The 18,328-nt window shown below is 46.6% G+C and overlaps 1 protein-coding gene and 1 long non-coding RNA gene across 12 annotated transcripts in view; one reads left to right on the top strand and one right to left on the bottom strand.

Moving 5' to 3' along the window:
* Nucleotides 1–221: 221 nt before the first annotated feature.
* LINC01870 (long intergenic non-protein coding RNA 1870) lies at nucleotides 222–3,355 on the bottom strand. The gene is made up of 3 exons (XR_001739614.2): nucleotides 3,158–3,355; nucleotides 1,949–2,039; nucleotides 222–1,542 (listed from the first exon to the last, which is right to left on the bottom strand). It is a non-coding gene; the product is annotated as a long intergenic non-protein coding RNA 1870 (long non-coding RNA).
* Nucleotides 3,356–13,660: 10,305 nt separating this feature from the next.
* The window catches only part of RFX8 (regulatory factor X8), a 77,754-nt gene continuing 73,086 nt past the window's right edge, over nucleotides 13,661–18,328 (top strand). For 5 of the 11 annotated variants that reach the window (XM_017004852.2, XM_017004851.2, XM_017004854.1 and 2 more), the window contains exon 1: nucleotides 14,495–14,571. In XM_017004852.2, the coding sequence (XP_016860341.1) occupies nucleotides 14,498–14,571 (74 nt within the window). In that variant the 5' untranslated portion in view covers nucleotides 14,495–14,497. Of the gene's footprint in view, nucleotides 14,138–14,494; nucleotides 14,572–18,328 lie in introns of those variants that run through there. The other 6 variants (NM_001145664.2, NM_001367510.1, NM_001367508.1 and 3 more) reach the window with 3 other exon arrangements.

Here is an 18,328-nt window from a genome sequence, read left to right as displayed (position 1 = left end):
GAAACTGTGTGTGGGAGGAGCACATATGGAACATTCTGTATTATTGGCTTAATTTTTTGATAAATCTGAAATCATGAGCTTCAAGTCAAGGTAAGAAAAAATAAAATAAAATAAAATCATTATAAGAAATAAAGTCTACCGATTTTTAAAAAGTAAAATCATCAGTATGAAAAAGGACCAAATAGAAAGTTTAGAAATGAAAAAATACAATATAACAAAGTAGTCCCACAGTTGGGATTAACAGCTAATTAGAAATGGATGAAATGAAAACCTATTGCAAGATAGGCCAGCCTAAAAATTGCTATCCAGAATGAAGCATAGAATGTGAAAGGGATGAAAAACACAAAAGGAGAGAATTACTGGCATAAAGAATAAAGTGAGAAGGTCTTACATACATTGAACTGGCATCCCTGAAAGAAAAGAGAATAATAATGGGGCAAAATTAAATCTAAAGAAAGTAAAACCACTCCCGCCTGTAATCCCAGCACTTTGGGAGGCCAAAGCAGGTGGATCACTTGAGGTCAGGAGTTTGAGACCAGCCTGGCCAACATGGTGAAACTCCATGTCTACCAAAAATACAAAAATTAGCTGGGTGTGGTGGCACGTGCCTGTAGTCCCAGCTACTCGGGAGGCTGAGGCAGGAGAATTGCTTGAACCTGGGAGGTGGAGTTTGCAGTGAGCTGAGATTGTGCCACTGCACCCCAGCCTGGGCAACAGAGTGAGACTCTGTCTCAATAAATAAATAAATAAATAAAAATAAAGAAAGTAAAATAGTAATGGAATCTTCTAAAATTGATGAAAAACATCAATCCCAAAACTCAAAAGTCCTATATTGGCCGGGCGCAGTGGCTCACACCTGTAATCCCAGCACTTCGGGAGGCTGAGGCAGGCGGATCCCAAGATCAGGAGTTTGAGACCATCCTGGCCAATATGGTGAAACCCCGTCTCTACTAAAAATACAAAAATTAGCCAGGAGTGGTGGCAGACACCTGTAGTCCCAGCTACTCGGGAGGCTGAGGCAGGGGAATCGCTTGAACCCGGGAGGCAGAGGTTGTAGTGAGCCAAGATCGGGCCACTGCACTCCAGCCTGGGAGACAGAGCAAGACTCTGTCTCAAAAAAAAAAAAGTCCTATAAATTTGACATAAGATAAATAAAAAGAAATCTAGGTCCAGACACCTCACAGTAAAAAGTAACACTAAAAGCAATAAGAAAATCTTAAAAGCAGCCACAGAGAATGAAAAACAGCTTATTTTCAAAAAAAACAAAAACCCAGCTAACTTCTCAGCAGGGACAACAAAAGTCAGGAACCAAAGATGAGAAGTTTTCAATGTGCTTGCCAACTTAGCATACTATAACCATGTTCAAGAATGAGGAGTCAAAAAATTACAAAAATTAGCCTGGCGTCATCATGGGCACCTGTAGTTCCAGCTACTCGGAAGGCTGAGGCAGGAGAATTGCTTGAACCCAGGAGGCAGAGGCTGCAGTGAGCTGTGAGCCGAGATCTCGCCATTGCACTCCAGCCTGGGTGACAGAATGAGACCCTGTCTCAAAAAACAAACAAACCAAAGTTAATCATAAAATCAAAGAGTGCTCAACAGATAGTGAAACTAGTAACACAGACCTCACGATAGGAGGTCAGTATTGGAAGAAGTTAAAGCAGGTGCTCCTGGAGGCAATTATCAGAGGAAGGTGCAAGATGAGAACAGAGGTAGACTCTGTTTCCCCATAGGAACAGCCATGTGCCACTCAATGGGCTCCCAGCATCCTCCACAACATTTGATGTTTCATTATGTGCTTTTAACATGGATGTTGTCCAATGAGGTTGTAATTCATAGCTGTCGCCCATCTTATGCTCAAAACTAACTGGACCCACTCCCCAGTGACACCCTGAGAGCCCCTCCTCCCTTGACTAGCTTATGGGTTCACAAAAGTCACTTGACCACCAACCTGTATTGGGAATGTTGCCCTCATTACTGGCAAAGCTGCTGTCTTCAGGAAGAAGAGTTGCCTTTGTGGGATTTGAGGAATTCTCTTCCTCCTATAAGACAAATAATTTTTAGCAACATGAGAGCTGAGTTTGGGAGCCATTGTTTAAGCTTTCCTGTGCTGAGTTTTGTGATAAATCAAGACTTTTGTTTTGTTTTGTTTTTCTTCCTTGCAGAGGAAATCAAATGCAGCCAGCCTCTTTGCAGTGGGCTGAATCTGGTGTGGCAGGAAGTTCAAGTGATGGCTCCTAGGATGGTCCAAACAAAAACACCACCCCCGCCTCCTCAAGAAATGGAAACTATTATGCAAGAGCAAAAGGTGCAAGAAACTACCTTTGAGAAACACAGAATTCAATTCCTATCACCTCCTCTAAGATGACAATTCTCATTTTTCCAGTCATTCAGCGAACATTGACTCAGCAGCTCCCAGTATCTGCTGAGGACTCTGCTAGTCAGTGTCCCCTTTAAGGAGCTCACTTTACAGAGGAAGGACAGCCGAGCACGAGCAACACTGTGACAGAGGTGAGCCCAGTGGGTATGGGAGGGCACAGGGGAGCCTGCACTCAGGCTGGCTGAAGAAGATGGAGGGCTTCTCCGGGAAGCCTTCAGGACAAAGGGAGCATGATTAAGCTGAAGTGGGCTGGGCAGCATTCAGCTGAGGAAGATTAGAAGGAGTCTAGAGATTCCAGACAGAAACAGCAGCTTGTGCAAAGGCACTGAGGCATGCCAACACACAGTTCCTTAAGGAACTGCCGGTCCTGGGCTTCAGGGAGCCTAGAGGGGAGATGAATGAGATGAGGTTGGATAAACAGATGTGCAAATCTAAATAATTTCTTTTCTTTTTTTTGAGACAATGTTTCACTCCCGTCACCCAGGCTGGAGTACAGTGGAGTGATCTTGGCTCACTACAACCTCCGCCTCCTGGGCCCAAATGATCCCCCTGCCTCAGCCTCCTGAGTAGCCAGAACTACATGCGTGTGCCACCACAACCGGCTAATTTTTGTATTTTTAGTAGAGATGGGGTTTTGTGTGTTGGCCATGCTGGTCTCAAACTCCTGATCTCAAGTGATCCACCCACTTCGGCCTCCCAAAGTGCTGGGATTACAGGCATGAACCACTGTGCCTGGCCTAAATATTTTTTGTGCAAATATTTGAAACTATAGCCCCATACCTGTGGGAAGTAAAAGGATTCCTCAGGTGCGTGGCCATGTCACTATATTCATTTTTGGTAGATGGAGGATCCAGAGTGTGACAGAAATATGAATGATGGTGAAAATTTAGGCAGGTCACAAATTTTGTTGCAATACAAATTGCAGCTGTATGATCTTGGGCAAACTGCTTAACTTCTCGAGGGCTCCATTTCTTTATCTATAAAACAATAAAAAATATCGATTCCATAGGTTTATGACCATAGCAGTGTTTTATGAGTTTTGTGAGCATATGTGATGGAATGCTAATAACACTTGTATCAGTGTTTAGTATTAGCATCATTATCACCCTAATCTGCATCATCCCTACAAGGTTAGTAACTCTTCCCAACCCTCCACATGAGGAGAGGAGGAGAAATAGAAAGGAAAGAATAGAGAAATAGATAGGAATGGAAGGGAGTGAGCAGAGGGCTCCTAAATCCCAGAGCTTCTGGGGACCATTGACAGGGGAAAGCCAGCTTGGAGAATGAAGAGGAAGATGGGGGGCATTTGGCTGAGCTGCAGACGGGGAGGGAAGGGGATGTGGCCAGTTGTGAGGTGGGCAGATAAATAAAAAAGTCTTTGTGAATCAATATTCTATGACTCTCAGTTATAATCACACTCTTCTGGTTTTTTAAAATAAAGCTTCTGGAGCAAGGAAATCCTAACTTTCAGGTTTCATAGTCCTTTTCAATGCACTAACGCCTGAGTTCAAGTGCTAGCTAAAAGGAAAACCAGAAGCAATGTATTTGCATCATTTCAAAATGCTGAATGTGCAAAGCATGGCTAAATACACAGTTTTTTTGTTTGTTTTTGTTTTTGTTTTTGAGAAGGAGTTTCACTCTTGTCGCCCAGGCTGGAGTGCAGTGGCTCGATCTTGGCTCACTGCTACCTCCGCCTCCCTGGTTTAAGCGATTCTCCTGCCTCAGCCTCCCGAGTAGCTGGGATTACAGGTGCCCACCACCACACCCAGCTATATTTTTGGGTTTGTTTTTTGGTTTTTTTTGTATTTTTAGTAGAAACGGTGTTTCACCATTTTGGCCAGGCTGGTCTCGAACTCCTGACTTCAGATGATCTTCCCGCTTCAGCCTCCCAAAGTGCTGGGATTACAGGCATGAACCACCATGCCCAGCCAATACATAGTTTTAACTGTATGTATCAACCCCAATTAAATAAAGCCAAGCACTAATTTAGGAATACCTGTCTTAAGTCACATCTGACAATTGTGGAGAGGAAAGGGCAGGGCTGAGCCTTCACCCTGAGCCCCTGTAGCCAGAAATGTTTCTATACCCATAGCCAGACACGCTGCTCCTGTGGGGAGGTGAGCAAGTCATACTCACCAGGCTGCCTGCCCTTTTCTCTCCTCAAGGTGTATGGCAGGTGTGGGTGGGAGCCGCTAGGGAAGGAGAAGGGGGAAGGAGAGTGGACAAGGGGAGCATGAGACAAAGGCACTGTCTTGACCTGTTTCTGCTGCTATAACAAACTACCTGAGACTGGGTAATTAATCAGTAATAGAAATTTATTTCTCAAAGTTCCGGAGGCTGGGATGTCCAAGATCAAGCTGCTGGCAGGTTTTGTGTCTGATGAGGGCCCCAGTCTCTGCTTCCAAGATAGTCCCTTGAATGCTGCGTCCTCACATGGCATAAGGGACAGAAGGTGGAAGGGAAAAAGGGCCTCAGCTAGTTCACTGCAGCACCTTTACAGGGCACTAATCCATTCATGAGGGCACGGCCCTCATGACTTAATCACTTTCCAGAAGGCCACACCTCTTAATACTACCACAATGGCGATTAAGTTCCAACATGAATTTTGGAGGGGACACATTCAGGCACATAGCTGGCACTAAATTTTCTTTTTGTCAAACCTCTAGAAACCCTGTTTAACAACAGCCTAAACTCCCAGAACAGCCCACAAAGTCTGATTCTATGATGTAGCTCATACCAGTGTTTCTCAAACTGGGAACCATGGACCCTTAGTATCCTTCAAGATGTTTATAAGCAATAAACAATGTTATTAAAAAAAAGCACATGGGGGGGTGGTGGGCTTCTATAGACAATTAAACTTGGAAATACTAAGTTAAATAAAGTTAAACAACCTTATTTACTACAGGATCTCTCTCAGGTTCTTTAATATAATAATTTGTCTGTGAATCACCAAGACAGAGGTATAATATTTGGGAGTTTCTTTCTGGGTTTTTTTTGTTGTTGTTGTTTTTGAGACAGAGTCTCGCTCCGTTGCCCAGGCTGGAGTGCAGTGGCGTAATCTCAGCTCACTGCAACCTCTGCCTCCCAGGCTCAAGTGATCCCCTGAACCTCAGTCTCCCGACTAGCTGGGACTACAGGCATGCGCCATCATGCCCAGCTAATTTTTATATTTTTAGTGGAGACAGGGTTTCGCCATGTTGGCCAGGGTGGTCTCAAATGCCTGGGCTCAAGTGATCTGCCCACCTCGGCCTCCCAAAGTGCTGGGATTGCAGGCGTGAGCCACCTTTGCCTGGCCCTGGGAGTTTTTAAGAAAGAAACATTTTTTTCTTTTTTTTTTTTTTTTTTGAGACAAGGTCTGGCTCTATTGCCCAGGCTGGAGTGCAGTGGTGCAATCTTGGCTCACTGCAACATCTGCCTCCCTGCAATCTCTGCCTCCCAGGCTCAAGCCATCCTCCCACCTCAGCCTCCATAGTGGCTGGGACTACAGGCACATGCCACTATGCCCAGCTAAAGTTGCAGGAGTATTCTGCAGAACACTAAACCACAGTGCTAACAATGCCGTACTGATTTTAAAAAACAAAACATAAACCTAGTGCTAATTATACTGTTAATCACATACTGTGTTTGAGTGCTCTGCATGTTGAAAAAGGCTTTTAGGCAAGTCTGAAACTACGGTGTGTGAGTATAAATGTCTTATGTGCATCCTCCCCCAGGACACAGCTTCAAATGTACACATAAAAACTTTTTCTTATGGACTATTTCAAACACACACAAAAGTGGAGAGCAGAGTGCGATGAGCTCCCTGTCTCGGCAAGCGTTGGACCTGCCAACTTTGACTCACCTGCTCCCCCAATCCCCCACTCCTGCCAGCTGGGTTATTTTGAAGAAAATCTCAGACATCATTTTATTTCATCTATAAATATTTCAAGGTGTATCTCTAAAAGGGATACAAATTCTCTTTAAATATATAACCATAATACTATTACTACACCAACAATTTTGAAATAACTGAAATCATTTTAAGTATTTCTCTGCAAGGGAAACTGTCAAATAGGCAACAGTCAAAAGTTTATTGAGCACTTACGACGTGCCAGGATAAAAGCTTTATCAGCATGCTTTCTTTTATTTACTTATTATTTATTTATTTATTTATTTGAGATGGAGTTTCGCTCTTGTTACCCAGGCTGGAGTGCAATGGCGCAATCTTGGCTAACTGCAACCTCCACCTCCCGGGTTCAAGTGATTCTCCTGCCTCAGCCTCCCTAGTAGCTGGGATTACAGGTGCCCGCCACCACGCCCAGCTAATTTTTTGTGTTTTTAGTAGAGAAGGGGCTTCACTATGTTGGCCAGGCTAGTCTCGAGCTCCTGACCTCAGGCGGTCCACCCGCCTCAGCCTCCCAAAGTGCTGGGATTACAGGCGTGAACCACCATGCCCAGCTCAGCTTGCTTTCTTTTAGTTCTCACAGCTACACTCTGCAGGAGGCACTTTACAATCCAGGAAACGGCCCCTCAGAGGTCCCCCAGGCAGAACGGTTAAATCCGTGGCCCTATGTGCTCTGTCACTCATTGGCTACACAACCTTGTGCAAACTCACTTCAAGTGTCTTCAATTCCCTGCAAGTCTCCTTTTCCTCCCTGTGAAATGAGTCCACTCTACTGGATTCACGAACTCACGCATAAGATCTTAAGCAGGGGCCGGGCGCGGTGGCTCACGCCTGTAATCCCAGCACTTTGGGAGGCCGAGGCGGGCGGATCACGAGGTCAGGAGATCGAGACCATCCTGGCTAACACGGTGAAACCCCGTCTCTACTAAAAATACAAAAAATTAGCCGGGCGTGGTAGCGGGCGCCTGTAGTCCCAGCTACTCGGGAGGCTGAGGCAGGAGAATGGCGTGAACCCGGGAGGCGGAGCTTGCAGTGAGCCGAGATCGCGCCACTGCACTCCAGCCTGGGCGACAGAGCGAGACTCCGTCTCAAAAAAAAAAAAAAAAAAAAAAAAAAAAAAAAAGATCTTAAGCAGGTACTGATTGGTTCTTCTGCATATGCTGGGTACTAGGGCTGGAGGGGTCTAAGTTTTGGTCTGATCTTAGACTTAGCCCACTGTCACGGACTCAGTCAGGCCTCTGAGATCATGCCTAGTCTCCTCAGGTAAACATGACTTATCTCTCAGTTTATTTTCTTCTCTGGCTTTCTCCAAGATGGCCCCAGGGTCTATGGGGAAGAGGGGTGGCTCACCTGGTGGGAGGATGCTGTAACTCATGGCTCAAGCCAGAGCATTCTTCACAGTGGGAAAGAGAGCTAGCAGCAGCAGCTAAAAGTGGCAGGCAGGCCCCACCCATACGGGTCCCTCCTCATCGCAGGACCATGGACTCTAAGGCAGTGCCCTTGTCCTCTGGGTGCTAGTCACACTGACGGCAGCCACGGCCAATGTGTGGCTGCACCTGAGTCACTCTCCCTGAGGGACTTGTTTCTGCTTCCTCCCGTGGGCTCTGTGGGCCCCGTGGTCTGGCTGTGACTCCTGTGATCCCTGCCAAGGGGCCCATGCGGTGGTCCTCAGCTGCATGACCGTGTTAACAAGGTCCCCAGCCAGACCTCCAACTACTGTCTAATGGGTTCTGCTGGACAGAAGTTTTGGGGGTAGCCCTACTTTCACTCTTGTGTCTTTGTTAGAGATGGTGATTACCGTGGATACCCCGAGGGCAGGGACCACTGCAACGTATCCTTCCTGAGGTCTCCCCAGCGCCTAGCACACAAGAGGCTCATGTGGGTTCTCCCTAAATATCTGTCCAGTGAATGACTCAACTCCAGCTCCCCCTTAGCTTAGCCATGGGGCACCAAGTGTCCTTCAAAATGGTCACCTCTGGAAGGGTGTGGGAACCACCTCCTTCTCCCAGATCCTTACCGAGAAGACAAATGACAGGTATTAGAAACTCATGAACTTGGTGGGGCGCAGTGGCTCACACCTGTAATGCCAGCATTTTGAGAGGCTGAGGCAAGTGGGTCATCTGAGGTCCGGAGTTCGAGACCAGCCTGGCCAACAGGGTGAAACCGTGTCTCTACTAAAAATGCAAAATTAGCCAGGCAGGGTGTCAGGCGCCTGTAATCCCAGCTACTTGGGAGGCTGAGGCAGGAAAATTGCTCGAACCCAGGAAGGAGAGGTTGCAGTGAGCGAAGATTGTGCCACTGCACTCCAGCCTGAGTGACAGAATGAGACTCCATCCCAAAAAAACAAAACACAAACAAAAAAACCCTCATGAACTTGTGATAAGAAAAAGAAACCTGCTCTAAATGGCTCAAGGGAAAAGGTAATTTGTCGGAGGACACAGAGGAGCTCCTGGACCACATGAGAGGCAGGAAATTCTCATGGGTCTGCGCCCTCCAGCTCTTCCGACTCGGGTGCCTGTGGCCTCTCTCTTCAGCATCTCTCGCCTTGCCTGCTTCCTGTGCAAGGTTCTAAGACATTATTAAATGGAGTGGGCTGGTTGAGGAACAAGCAGAGGCAGGTGGGAGAGGTCCCTGCCTCTCAGTTCACCTCCACACAGATGCGCTGAGAGGCACTGGGTAAGTGTTTACGGTTCCGGCACAGCGATAACGTGAAAATAATATTTGCAAAAGACCATCTTGACAACTATTTGCATCTTAGACTGGCTTTGCGGGGTCTTAAGATTAGTGGTTTTTAAAGCCAGGCTTTGTTTCATAAAGTGAGCTTTAACAATCTTTACACATCTATTGGGATGTGTTTACCTTTGTTCTCCAGCAAAGCTCACAGGCAGATGCTCTTTGTAAAGCATCTTTCCTGCTTCTCTCTGCTGGGGAATTCCAATGGGTAATTAGCAGAAGGAGCGTCATATGACCAATTGAAAGGCAGTCTGCTGTCCTTTAGAAAGATGTGTCAAACACGTACTTTGTCTGGAGATGCTGTAGTGAAATTCGTTTCACGGTGGGGATAGTACCAGGAAATAATTCCATGCAGAACAGCAGGGAGCAGGCAGCTGTTCCAGTACATTTCTACCAAAGAATAATATGAACCATGAGGACAGATGAAGGTTTATCACACCCAAAATCAGCTAATGCTATCGTTTAAAACTGCTTTTCAAAAATAATTATTTCATGCTTGTAAAAAGCTTTAAAATAGTATTTACACAAATCCAAAGTAATTGACTTAGTGTGCCTTTTCTCATTCTTTTGGAAAATTATTTAATAAATTGGGGTAAGATGTATGATTTTGCTCATAATTATGATTTGGAAAAGTGTCTGCCTTGCTTCCATGATGGCTTTAATAAGATGACTTATTAAATTCCTACTAATCATCTGCAGAAAAGGAAACCACTTTTCATTTTGTTTTTGCTTGGTTTTCTATGAGACTTCCAGAAAAGTCCCACTTTTAATGTAACAAAAGAATTCAAATGCATTACTTTGCAAATTACAATTTACAAGCACTCTGTGACTTGTAATGAAGGCTGTTTCTTTTCATTCCACACATTCTCAGAGTTCCTCTGCAGATATTGCTATTTGTTATACCTTATGTGGCCAGCACCTCTCTGCAAAAAGGGAAACAGGAACACCGCATTGGGGAAAAAACATCTATAGCAATGGGATATCGTCATGGTCCTCTGAATCATGGATTTTAGATAAAGAAATGGCAGAGAAGTGTTTTATATTTGGAGTTAGGTTTTCTCATTACATACATTCTCCTGAATGCAATGTTCCCATTGATTTCAACTGGGGTAAAAGCCAGATATTCAAAAGGTGAGTGTAGACCAAGGAAAATTGCAACATATGATAGTGATTTGGAATCTCTCCAATGAGACTGTTTTGCTCTAGTATAGTTTGAAAGTCTCCATAGCTTGCTGGTTTAGAGCCCAGGGATCTTAAGGAGTCTCTTCCAGGCTAAATGGAACATGCAGTTGTCTGTTCTCTGTAATGCTCTGTCTGTGCAGATGCAGCTACATTGTGCATTCTGGACCAAATCCACTATGCTCATTAGCTTTATTTAAAAATACATCTATTGCCTGAAGACACCTGGGTACATCCACAGAAAGTGAATAATTGCAAGAACTGAATGAAATTAAGCACCCTAGATCAGAAATGGTTTTGTGCAAGGAGAAGACACAGCTGGTGCCCTTTTAGAAGGTGAAATGAGACTAATTAGATAAGCTAGAAACCAATTAGATGGAAGTAGGTAAAATAAGTTACTGTTTAGATAGAAGAGATGTGGTTCTCCAGCTTTGTGTACATAAAATGTGACATAAGAAACTGGAATTCTACTTGATATAAACCTTAGAATTTATTTTCCTTGTCACGGTTTAGATATTAGAGCAAAGATACTCAACCTGGAGTTAGAGAGAGACTAGATTTTCAGGTACAAGACAGCACATGCATGGGTCTAGCAGTCTTCTCAGTGAACGCCACAGAATGAAGTTTTTTGTGATGTCACTTCCAGTTAAACATTCTTTGAAAAGAAAATGGATTTTATACCTAATTTCTACTGAGCAAATTATGTGGCTATGTGGTCAACTCAACTGAAAGCCTTAATTATGCTGCTAGTAATGGAGTTGTGTGCAGAGGTAAATGTCCTTTGCATATTTAGCACATTAGAAAGGCATACACTGGGAATAAATCTTCGGAGAGTGTCGCTGTGTTAGCACAAAACTACTCAGAGTCTGATCTATAAGATGGCTGGTCAAACTAGGGACACCAGCTGTCACCTGTAATAGATGAAATTAATAGGCCCTCTGGGTGGAGGGTGTAAAATTGATCACATGGCCTCATTTCTAAAGTCTTCTAATCAACAAGCCTCAAGAGCTCTGAGCCAAGATAAGAAGATGTTTGCTTTTCATAGCATCTAACATTCAATGCAATAGCTAGCAAAGAGACCACTGGTCAACCAGATGGTCATGGTGTCCCCATCGTATTTCCAAGGTCTGTTCCAGTGCCTGGTACTGGTTGACGCTCAGTAAATGTGCAAATATTATGGCACCAGCAGTGACATAATAAGGCCCTAAATAACAGCAGACTCTTCCCTTGGTTATTTCCAGTCTCTGTGGACATAAGCAGGCATCTTGGGAAGTTTCCTGGGTGGAAGGAGCTGCTGTAGGACCAGTATGAGAAGGGGAAGGAACCATGTTTCCCCCAGCCATTGACAAGGACCTGCCTGTCCCACTGCAAGAGTACAGGACTTAGCACTCAGGGCAAAGCAAATCAGATGAAGGAACCTCACGGGGCTCCCCCTCCGAGTCCAAAGGGATGTGTTACCTCTCCTAGAGACAGGCTGACCTGCAGAGTGAGGCCTTGGAGAGCTCTGCCATATCGCCTCACCTCATTGCTTCATCTTCTTTTTTCCTGTGGGTTCTTCATCGTGGTTGCCATTCAGCAGTCTCCTGACTCTGTTTGTTACTCATATACTTGGCCTCCCATCCTGATATGGATGCTCTTAATACATGAGGTGAGGTTGAGAGAGGATGATGTGGAGTGAACTGTCCTCTACTGGGTGGCGTTTTAAAGCAGCCGGCCCTGAGCAAGGAAACTCAGCTGAGAAGATAAATAGGACTAACAGTGGCCCCATTCACTTATTGATTACGTCATTCCCACTCCCTTGCCTATCCTACCCCTACACTCCAAATGCCCCAGGCTTCAGGACCAGGCTGATTCATGGGGCAGTGCCCCAAAGGAGAGTCAGATGCCATCCCGGGTCAGCTCCAGTGACCTGGTTGAACTTCAGGGTCCAGGTTCTGAATGTCCTGCTATCTCTCTGGAACTGACCTTGGAGCTTCACCCTGGTGATGGTGTCCCTGTGGAAGGGAGGATGCTGGCCATGGAGATCTCTGGTGGGCCCCAGCAACTACCTTCCAGGGCTGGCACGTGGGAGGCAGTCGGCAGTTGTTTCCTTTGTTGAATCGATGTCTTTCCTGCTTCCAGAAGTGGTTCTCAAACGTGTGTGTGTGTGTGTGCATATGTTTTGGGGGCAGACTTTTTTTAAAACTGTGGTAATATATATATAACACAAAATTTACCATTTTAACAATTTATAAGCACACAATTCAGTGGTGTGGTATTAAGTACATTGGTATTGTTTTGCAACCATCAGCATCTATTTCCAGAACTTTTCATCTTCCCCAACTGAAACTCAGTCCCTATTAAAACACTAATCCCCCAACCCCCAGCCCCTGGCAACCCCCATTCTACTTTCTGTCGCTATGAATTTGACTTCTCTAGGGACCTCATGTAAGTGGAATCATGCTTTTCTGTGTGCTAATGTTTTCAGTGTATCTGTGTTGTAGCATGTATCAGAATTTCATTCCTTTTTAAGGGTAAATAATGTTCTAGTGTATGTATATGTACCACATTTTGTTTATCCATTCATCTGTCCATAGACACTTGGGTTACTTCTACCTTCTGGCTATTGTGAATAATGCTGCTATGAACATTGCTGTACATATTTGTTTTTGTTCCTGCTTTCAATTCTTTTTGGGTATACACTCAGAATTGGGACTGCTGGATCATAAGGTAATTCTATGTTTAATTTTTGAGGCCGTACTGTTTTCCATAGCAGCTGCACCACTTTAATATTATACATATTTTTTGAGACAGAGTCTCACCCTGTCACCCAGGCTGGAGTGCAGTGGCACGATCTTGGCTCACTGCAACCTCCACCTCCCAGGTTCAAGCGATTCTTGTGCCTCAGCCTCCCGAGTAGCTGGGATTACAGGCGCCTGCCGCCACGTCCGGCTAATTTTTGTATTTTTAGTAGAGACGGGGGTTTCACCATGTTGGCCAGGCTGGTCTCGAACTCCAGACCTCAGGTTATCTGCCCGTCTCGGCCTCCCAAAGTGCTGGGATTACAGGCGTGGGCCGCCGCCCCCGGCCAGCTGCACCACTTTAAATGTCCTACCCTCAGTGAACAAGAGTTCCAATTTCTCTACATCCTCACCAACACTCGTTAGTTTCTGTGTTTTAAATAATAGCCATCCTCTTGGGTATGGTTTTTATTTGCGTTTCCTAATGATTAATGATGTCGAGCATCTTTTCATGTGCTTAGTAGGCATTTATGTATCTTCTTTGGATAAATGTCTATTCAAGTCCTTTGCCCATTTTTAAACTGGGCGGTTTGGTTTTTGTTGCTGTCAAGTCGGCAAATGTGTTTTTGATCTAGATTGAGAAATCCTTACCCGGAGACTCTGAAGCGGTTAGCAGCCACAGTAACGGCTGCATGACTGAGCTCTGACTACAACACAGCCTTGCAAGTGAATGTCGCTTAATACTCACAACAACCCACACAGTTCCCCACAAAGGAAGTGAACTTGGAGATGGCCAGCAGCTCCATGTCACACAGCAATGACACTGACATAAATGGCTCTTGAGAGCAAGGACTGGCAGGACCTGGCTACAGATATGGGGACTCACGTTGAGGTGGCACTGCTCACCTGGAGCAGCACACTGGAGTCACCTGGGACCAGCCTCCTAGAAGTCCAGATGCGCCCGCCTGCCAGAGAGCTCCGAGATTTTTCAAAACTCCTAGAGACAGTGGTTTTCAGCAACGGCGGGCACATTAGCATCACCCGGGACCCTGAAAAAGCCGGTTGGCCCAGGCGGCCCTCGCCCAGACCAATTCATCAGAACCTCTTGGGGTGGGGTGGGGCGGGGCTGGGATGGGGAGCGGCAGCCGGGGTATCAATATTTTTGAAAACTGCCTGAATAACTCCAACGCTCAAGCAAGTCAAGGACACCCACGGACTCAACACCGCGACCAGATTGGAAAAGGTGTAAGTTGGTGCTTGTTGTTCGCGTCCCTGTTTGACTGGTTGCTACGCCGGTGGGAAGGGCGCTGGGTGAGAGCGGGAGGCAGCTCCAGCCCACACCGCAGGATGCAGGGCGGGGTCCGCGCATCCTCGGCGGGGCGCGGGGGTTGGGGAGCTGTGGCCTCCCGTACTCGCCGCGCGCCTTCCGCGCCCCCGGGCTCGGGCCTGGAGGACTGGGCTCCCGCCCCGCGCCCCGCGCGCCCCCCGCGCGCTCCTTTCTAAAGTAAACACCGAGGAGCGGCGGTAGCAGGACCGGTGCAACCCAGCGCCGCCCACGGCCGCCGCTCGCTGCCTGCCTCGGTGCTGCAGGCCCGGGGCCGAGCCATGGCCGAGGGGGTGCCGGCCTCGCCGTCGAGCGGCGAGGGTAGCCGGGGCCCGCACAGCGGCGTCATCCAGTGGTGAGCCGCCAGGCGCCTGGGACGCTGGGATGGAGGAGGTGGGGCCGGGGAGGGGAAGCGTGGTTCCCGCTACGGCTGCCCTCGGGACGCCGGGTCAAAGCCGGGTGTGAGGAGCGGCCCCAGGCCCAGCGCTTTCTGATGCTCGCCCGCCGCAGCGCGGAGGGACCTGCCATGCACGCACACGCGTAAAAGCCCCGGGCCCGAATCGGCGATGGGGCCGGGCTTCCCATCTGTGACTTCCCCGTTGTCACCCTTCCCGCGGAAAGCCATCCGGTCTGCCCCGCGGGGACCCGTTGGTTGGACCCTGCTTCCATGTACATCCAAAAGCTCCTGGGCCTTGCCAGGGGAGGAAAAGCTTTCTCTCCCTAGATCCAGGATGGGATGTTTCCTAATTTAAAGCTTAGGAGTTTTTAGCTTTAGCAATGCATTCCGCATTGTGAAATTCACTTCCAGCTATTTAAGTCGAAGCAGGAAAAAAGGGAAAGAAAAATATCCTCAGCCCTTGGGACTGAGAAACTCATGGGGTTGCAGATCTTCTTAAATAGAAAAATAATTGAAACCAGTTCTAGGACCTTTAGTTTTACAAGGTGAATAACTGTTATATAACAGAGTACATTTTTCTCTTTTTAAGTTTCAAAGCATATTTCTCAGGGAAGACTTTTGAAAAAGTCATGTGAGTGAAACAAAAATGAAGGGCGTGTTTGTGATTATAACCCTGGCAGGCCTAAACAGTTACCACTTTCCTCCAAAAGAACATTTTTGACATGTCTTATCTTCAATGAGAGGAAAAAAAATCAAATGAATAAATACTGAAGTACACAGCGTTTTTCAGTGTTACACAGCCGGGCTAGGTTTCTGCTACACTCACCGACCCAGGCCCCTCATGCATCGTTCTTAGAAGAAAGGACTCAGGATGCCTTTCAATGACTTCAGTTCGCCATTTAGTAAATTAGAGTTTCCAGGGTTTAAATTATGCTCCAGAGACTTGAAAGAATGATGAGACTGATTAAAAAATACCTGAACATCCTCCTAAGACCGCTTGTGAACTCACTTCAAATGGTAACCAGGGGGCTTATGATGGTCTAGACCAAGCTTGTCCAACCCTTGGCCTAAGGGCTGCATGAGGCCCAACACAGATTTGTAAACTTTCTTTTCCTTTCTTTCTTTTCTCTCTTTTTTTTTTGTGACAGAGTCTTGCTCTGTTGCCCAGTCTGGAGTGCAGTGGCACGATCTTGGTTCACTGTGACCTCCGCCTCCTGAGTTCAAGTGATTCTCCTGCCTTATCCTTCCGTAGTAGCTGGGATTACAAGCCTGCACCACCATGCCTTGCTAATTTTTGTATTTTTATTAGAGACAAGGTTTCACCATGTTAGCCAGGCTGGTCTGGAAGTCCTGACCTCAAGTGATCCACTTCCCTCGGCCTCCCAAAGTGCTGGGATTACAGGTGTGAGCCACCACGCTGGGCCTTCATAAACTTTGTTAAAACATTATGAGATTTTTTTTGTTTGTTTTGGCTCATCAGCTATCATTAGTGTTAGTGTATTTTATATGTGACCCAAGACAATTCTTCTTACAGTGTAGCCCAGGGAAGAAAAGATTGGACACCCCTGGTGTAGACCATTTTAGCAGACAGTCTGACTTACTCAAGTCCCATATTACAAGTTCCTATCCCTATAGGCCACTCTTCAAGGTTGGGGGGTGGAGGCAATGGAAATAAGGGAGGGGTCACCTTTTCATTGGGGAGGACTTTTCTTTAGAAATCATCCAGTTGATGAGGTGGTATGTTTAACAGATCGTTGAGGCCGGGTGCGGTGGCTCAGGCCTGTAATCCCAGCACTTTGGGAGGCCGAGGCAGGTGGATCACTTGAGCTCAGGAGTTTGAGACCAGCCTGGCTAACATGGTGAAACCCCATCTCTACTAAAAATACAAAAATTAGCTGGGTGTGGTGGCGGGCGCCTGTAAATCCCAGCTACTCTGAAGGCTGAGGCAGAAGAATCGCTTGAACCTGGGAGGTGGAGGTTGTAGTGAACCAAGATTGCGCCACTCTGCTTCAGCGTGGGCGACAAGAGTGAAACTCCCTCTCAAAACAAAATAAAAAACCCAAAACAGATCGTTGGTACTAGTGGTTTTAACGTCAACATCAAGAACAGCCTCTGGTATTCCAAAGCCTGGAAGGTGTTACCAATGCTGGAGGAGCAGTGGTGGGTAGTGCAGGGCGAGGGGTCTGAACGCCTGGAGACATCTCCATTAGCCAGTGTCTGAGTGAAAGACCAGGGAGGGGCCCAACTGTTGCCCTGTGGAGGAAACCTGCCATTTTCCACATTACTTCATTGTTTTGTCTTCTAATCAGTCGCTTGTTAGGACCCCAACATGTCTTAGAGACATCAGTGCCACTGTCATCCATATTGGATAAATTCTCCCAGGAGAAAGGCCCCAAGAGAGCTTGGCCAAGTCTCAGGGGCCAGAGGTAATAGAAGGTTTCTGTTTCATGGACAGGAAAGACTGCAGAAACGGGGAGAGGTGGGGTTAAAGCTCTGGGGAGCACAAAGGAATGAAGAACAGTGATCTGACTTCCTTGCTGGGATGCAGACCTAGCAGGTCTGACCCCTGGTTTCAGACCAGGCAAAACCTAAGCATTATCTAATCCCAATGCATGCTGAGCCCTGGTTGTAGACTACATAACTATCTCCCACATAGACTTTTACAAATTTCTGCAGACTCTGTTGAAATTTTAAAAATACAAATTTATTTGGAAAGGTGCAGAATTCATGGTAGCTTTTGATCAGCCGTATCGAAAAGGTACTATAGTTCCTAGTGTGGGGGGCTCATGACATTTTTCTTTGTTTTTTTGTTTGTTTGTTTGTTCTGAGATGGAGTCTCGCTTTGTCTCCCAGCCTGGAGTGCAGTGGCACAATCTCGGCTCACTGCAACCTCTGCCTCCCAGGTTCAAGTGATTCTCCTACCTCAGCCTCCTGAGTAGCTGGGATTACAGGCACGCACCACTGCGCCCAGCTAATTTTTGTATTTTTCGTAGAGACGGGGTTTCGCCATGTTAGCCACGCTGGCCTTGAACTCCTGACCTCAGGTGATCTGCCCATCTCAGCCTCCCAAAGTGCTGGGATTACAGGCATGAGCCACCGCGCCCAGTTGCTCATGACATTTTTCTTTAAAGAGTACTCAGAGGCCGGGCGCGGTGGCTCACGCCTGTAATCCCAGCACTTTGGGAGGCCAAGGCAGGTGGATCACGAGGTCAGGAGATCAAGACCATCCTGGCTAACACGGTGAAACCCCATCTCTACTAAATATACAAAAAATTAGCCGGGCGAGGTGGCAGGCGCCTGTAGTCCCAGCTACTTGGGAGGCTGAGGTAGGAGAATGACATGAACCTGGGAGGCGGAGCTTGCATTAAGCCGAGATCGCGCCACTGCACTCCAGCCTGGGTGACAGAGTGAGACTCCATCTCAAAAAAAAAAAAAAAAAAAAAAAAAAAAGAGTACTCAGAAAACGTGTGAAGCACTGGCTAAGTATTTGTGCTCTGAGGTCAGTAATCATCAGATTGTTCATCACTCAAAGCGAGGAGAACATCATGAACGGTCTCAAGATCTTAATAATCCACCTTGTCTGATGGCAAGACCAGGAAAATAGTGTTATTACGAAGCTAAGCAAGGAATCTAGTGATCTGATTCACTTCAAATGTAGACAGGCTTTATTTCCAGGTGTATCACCAAAGGACATTTTGGTGGCAGAGTATAAAAC

This window comes from Homo sapiens, chromosome 2 (genome assembly GCF_000001405.40).
Source record: "Homo sapiens chromosome 2, GRCh38.p14 Primary Assembly".
Lineage (NCBI taxonomy): Eukaryota > Metazoa > Chordata > Mammalia > Primates > Hominidae > Homo > Homo sapiens.
This window is presented reverse-complemented; position numbering and strand designations above follow the sequence as displayed.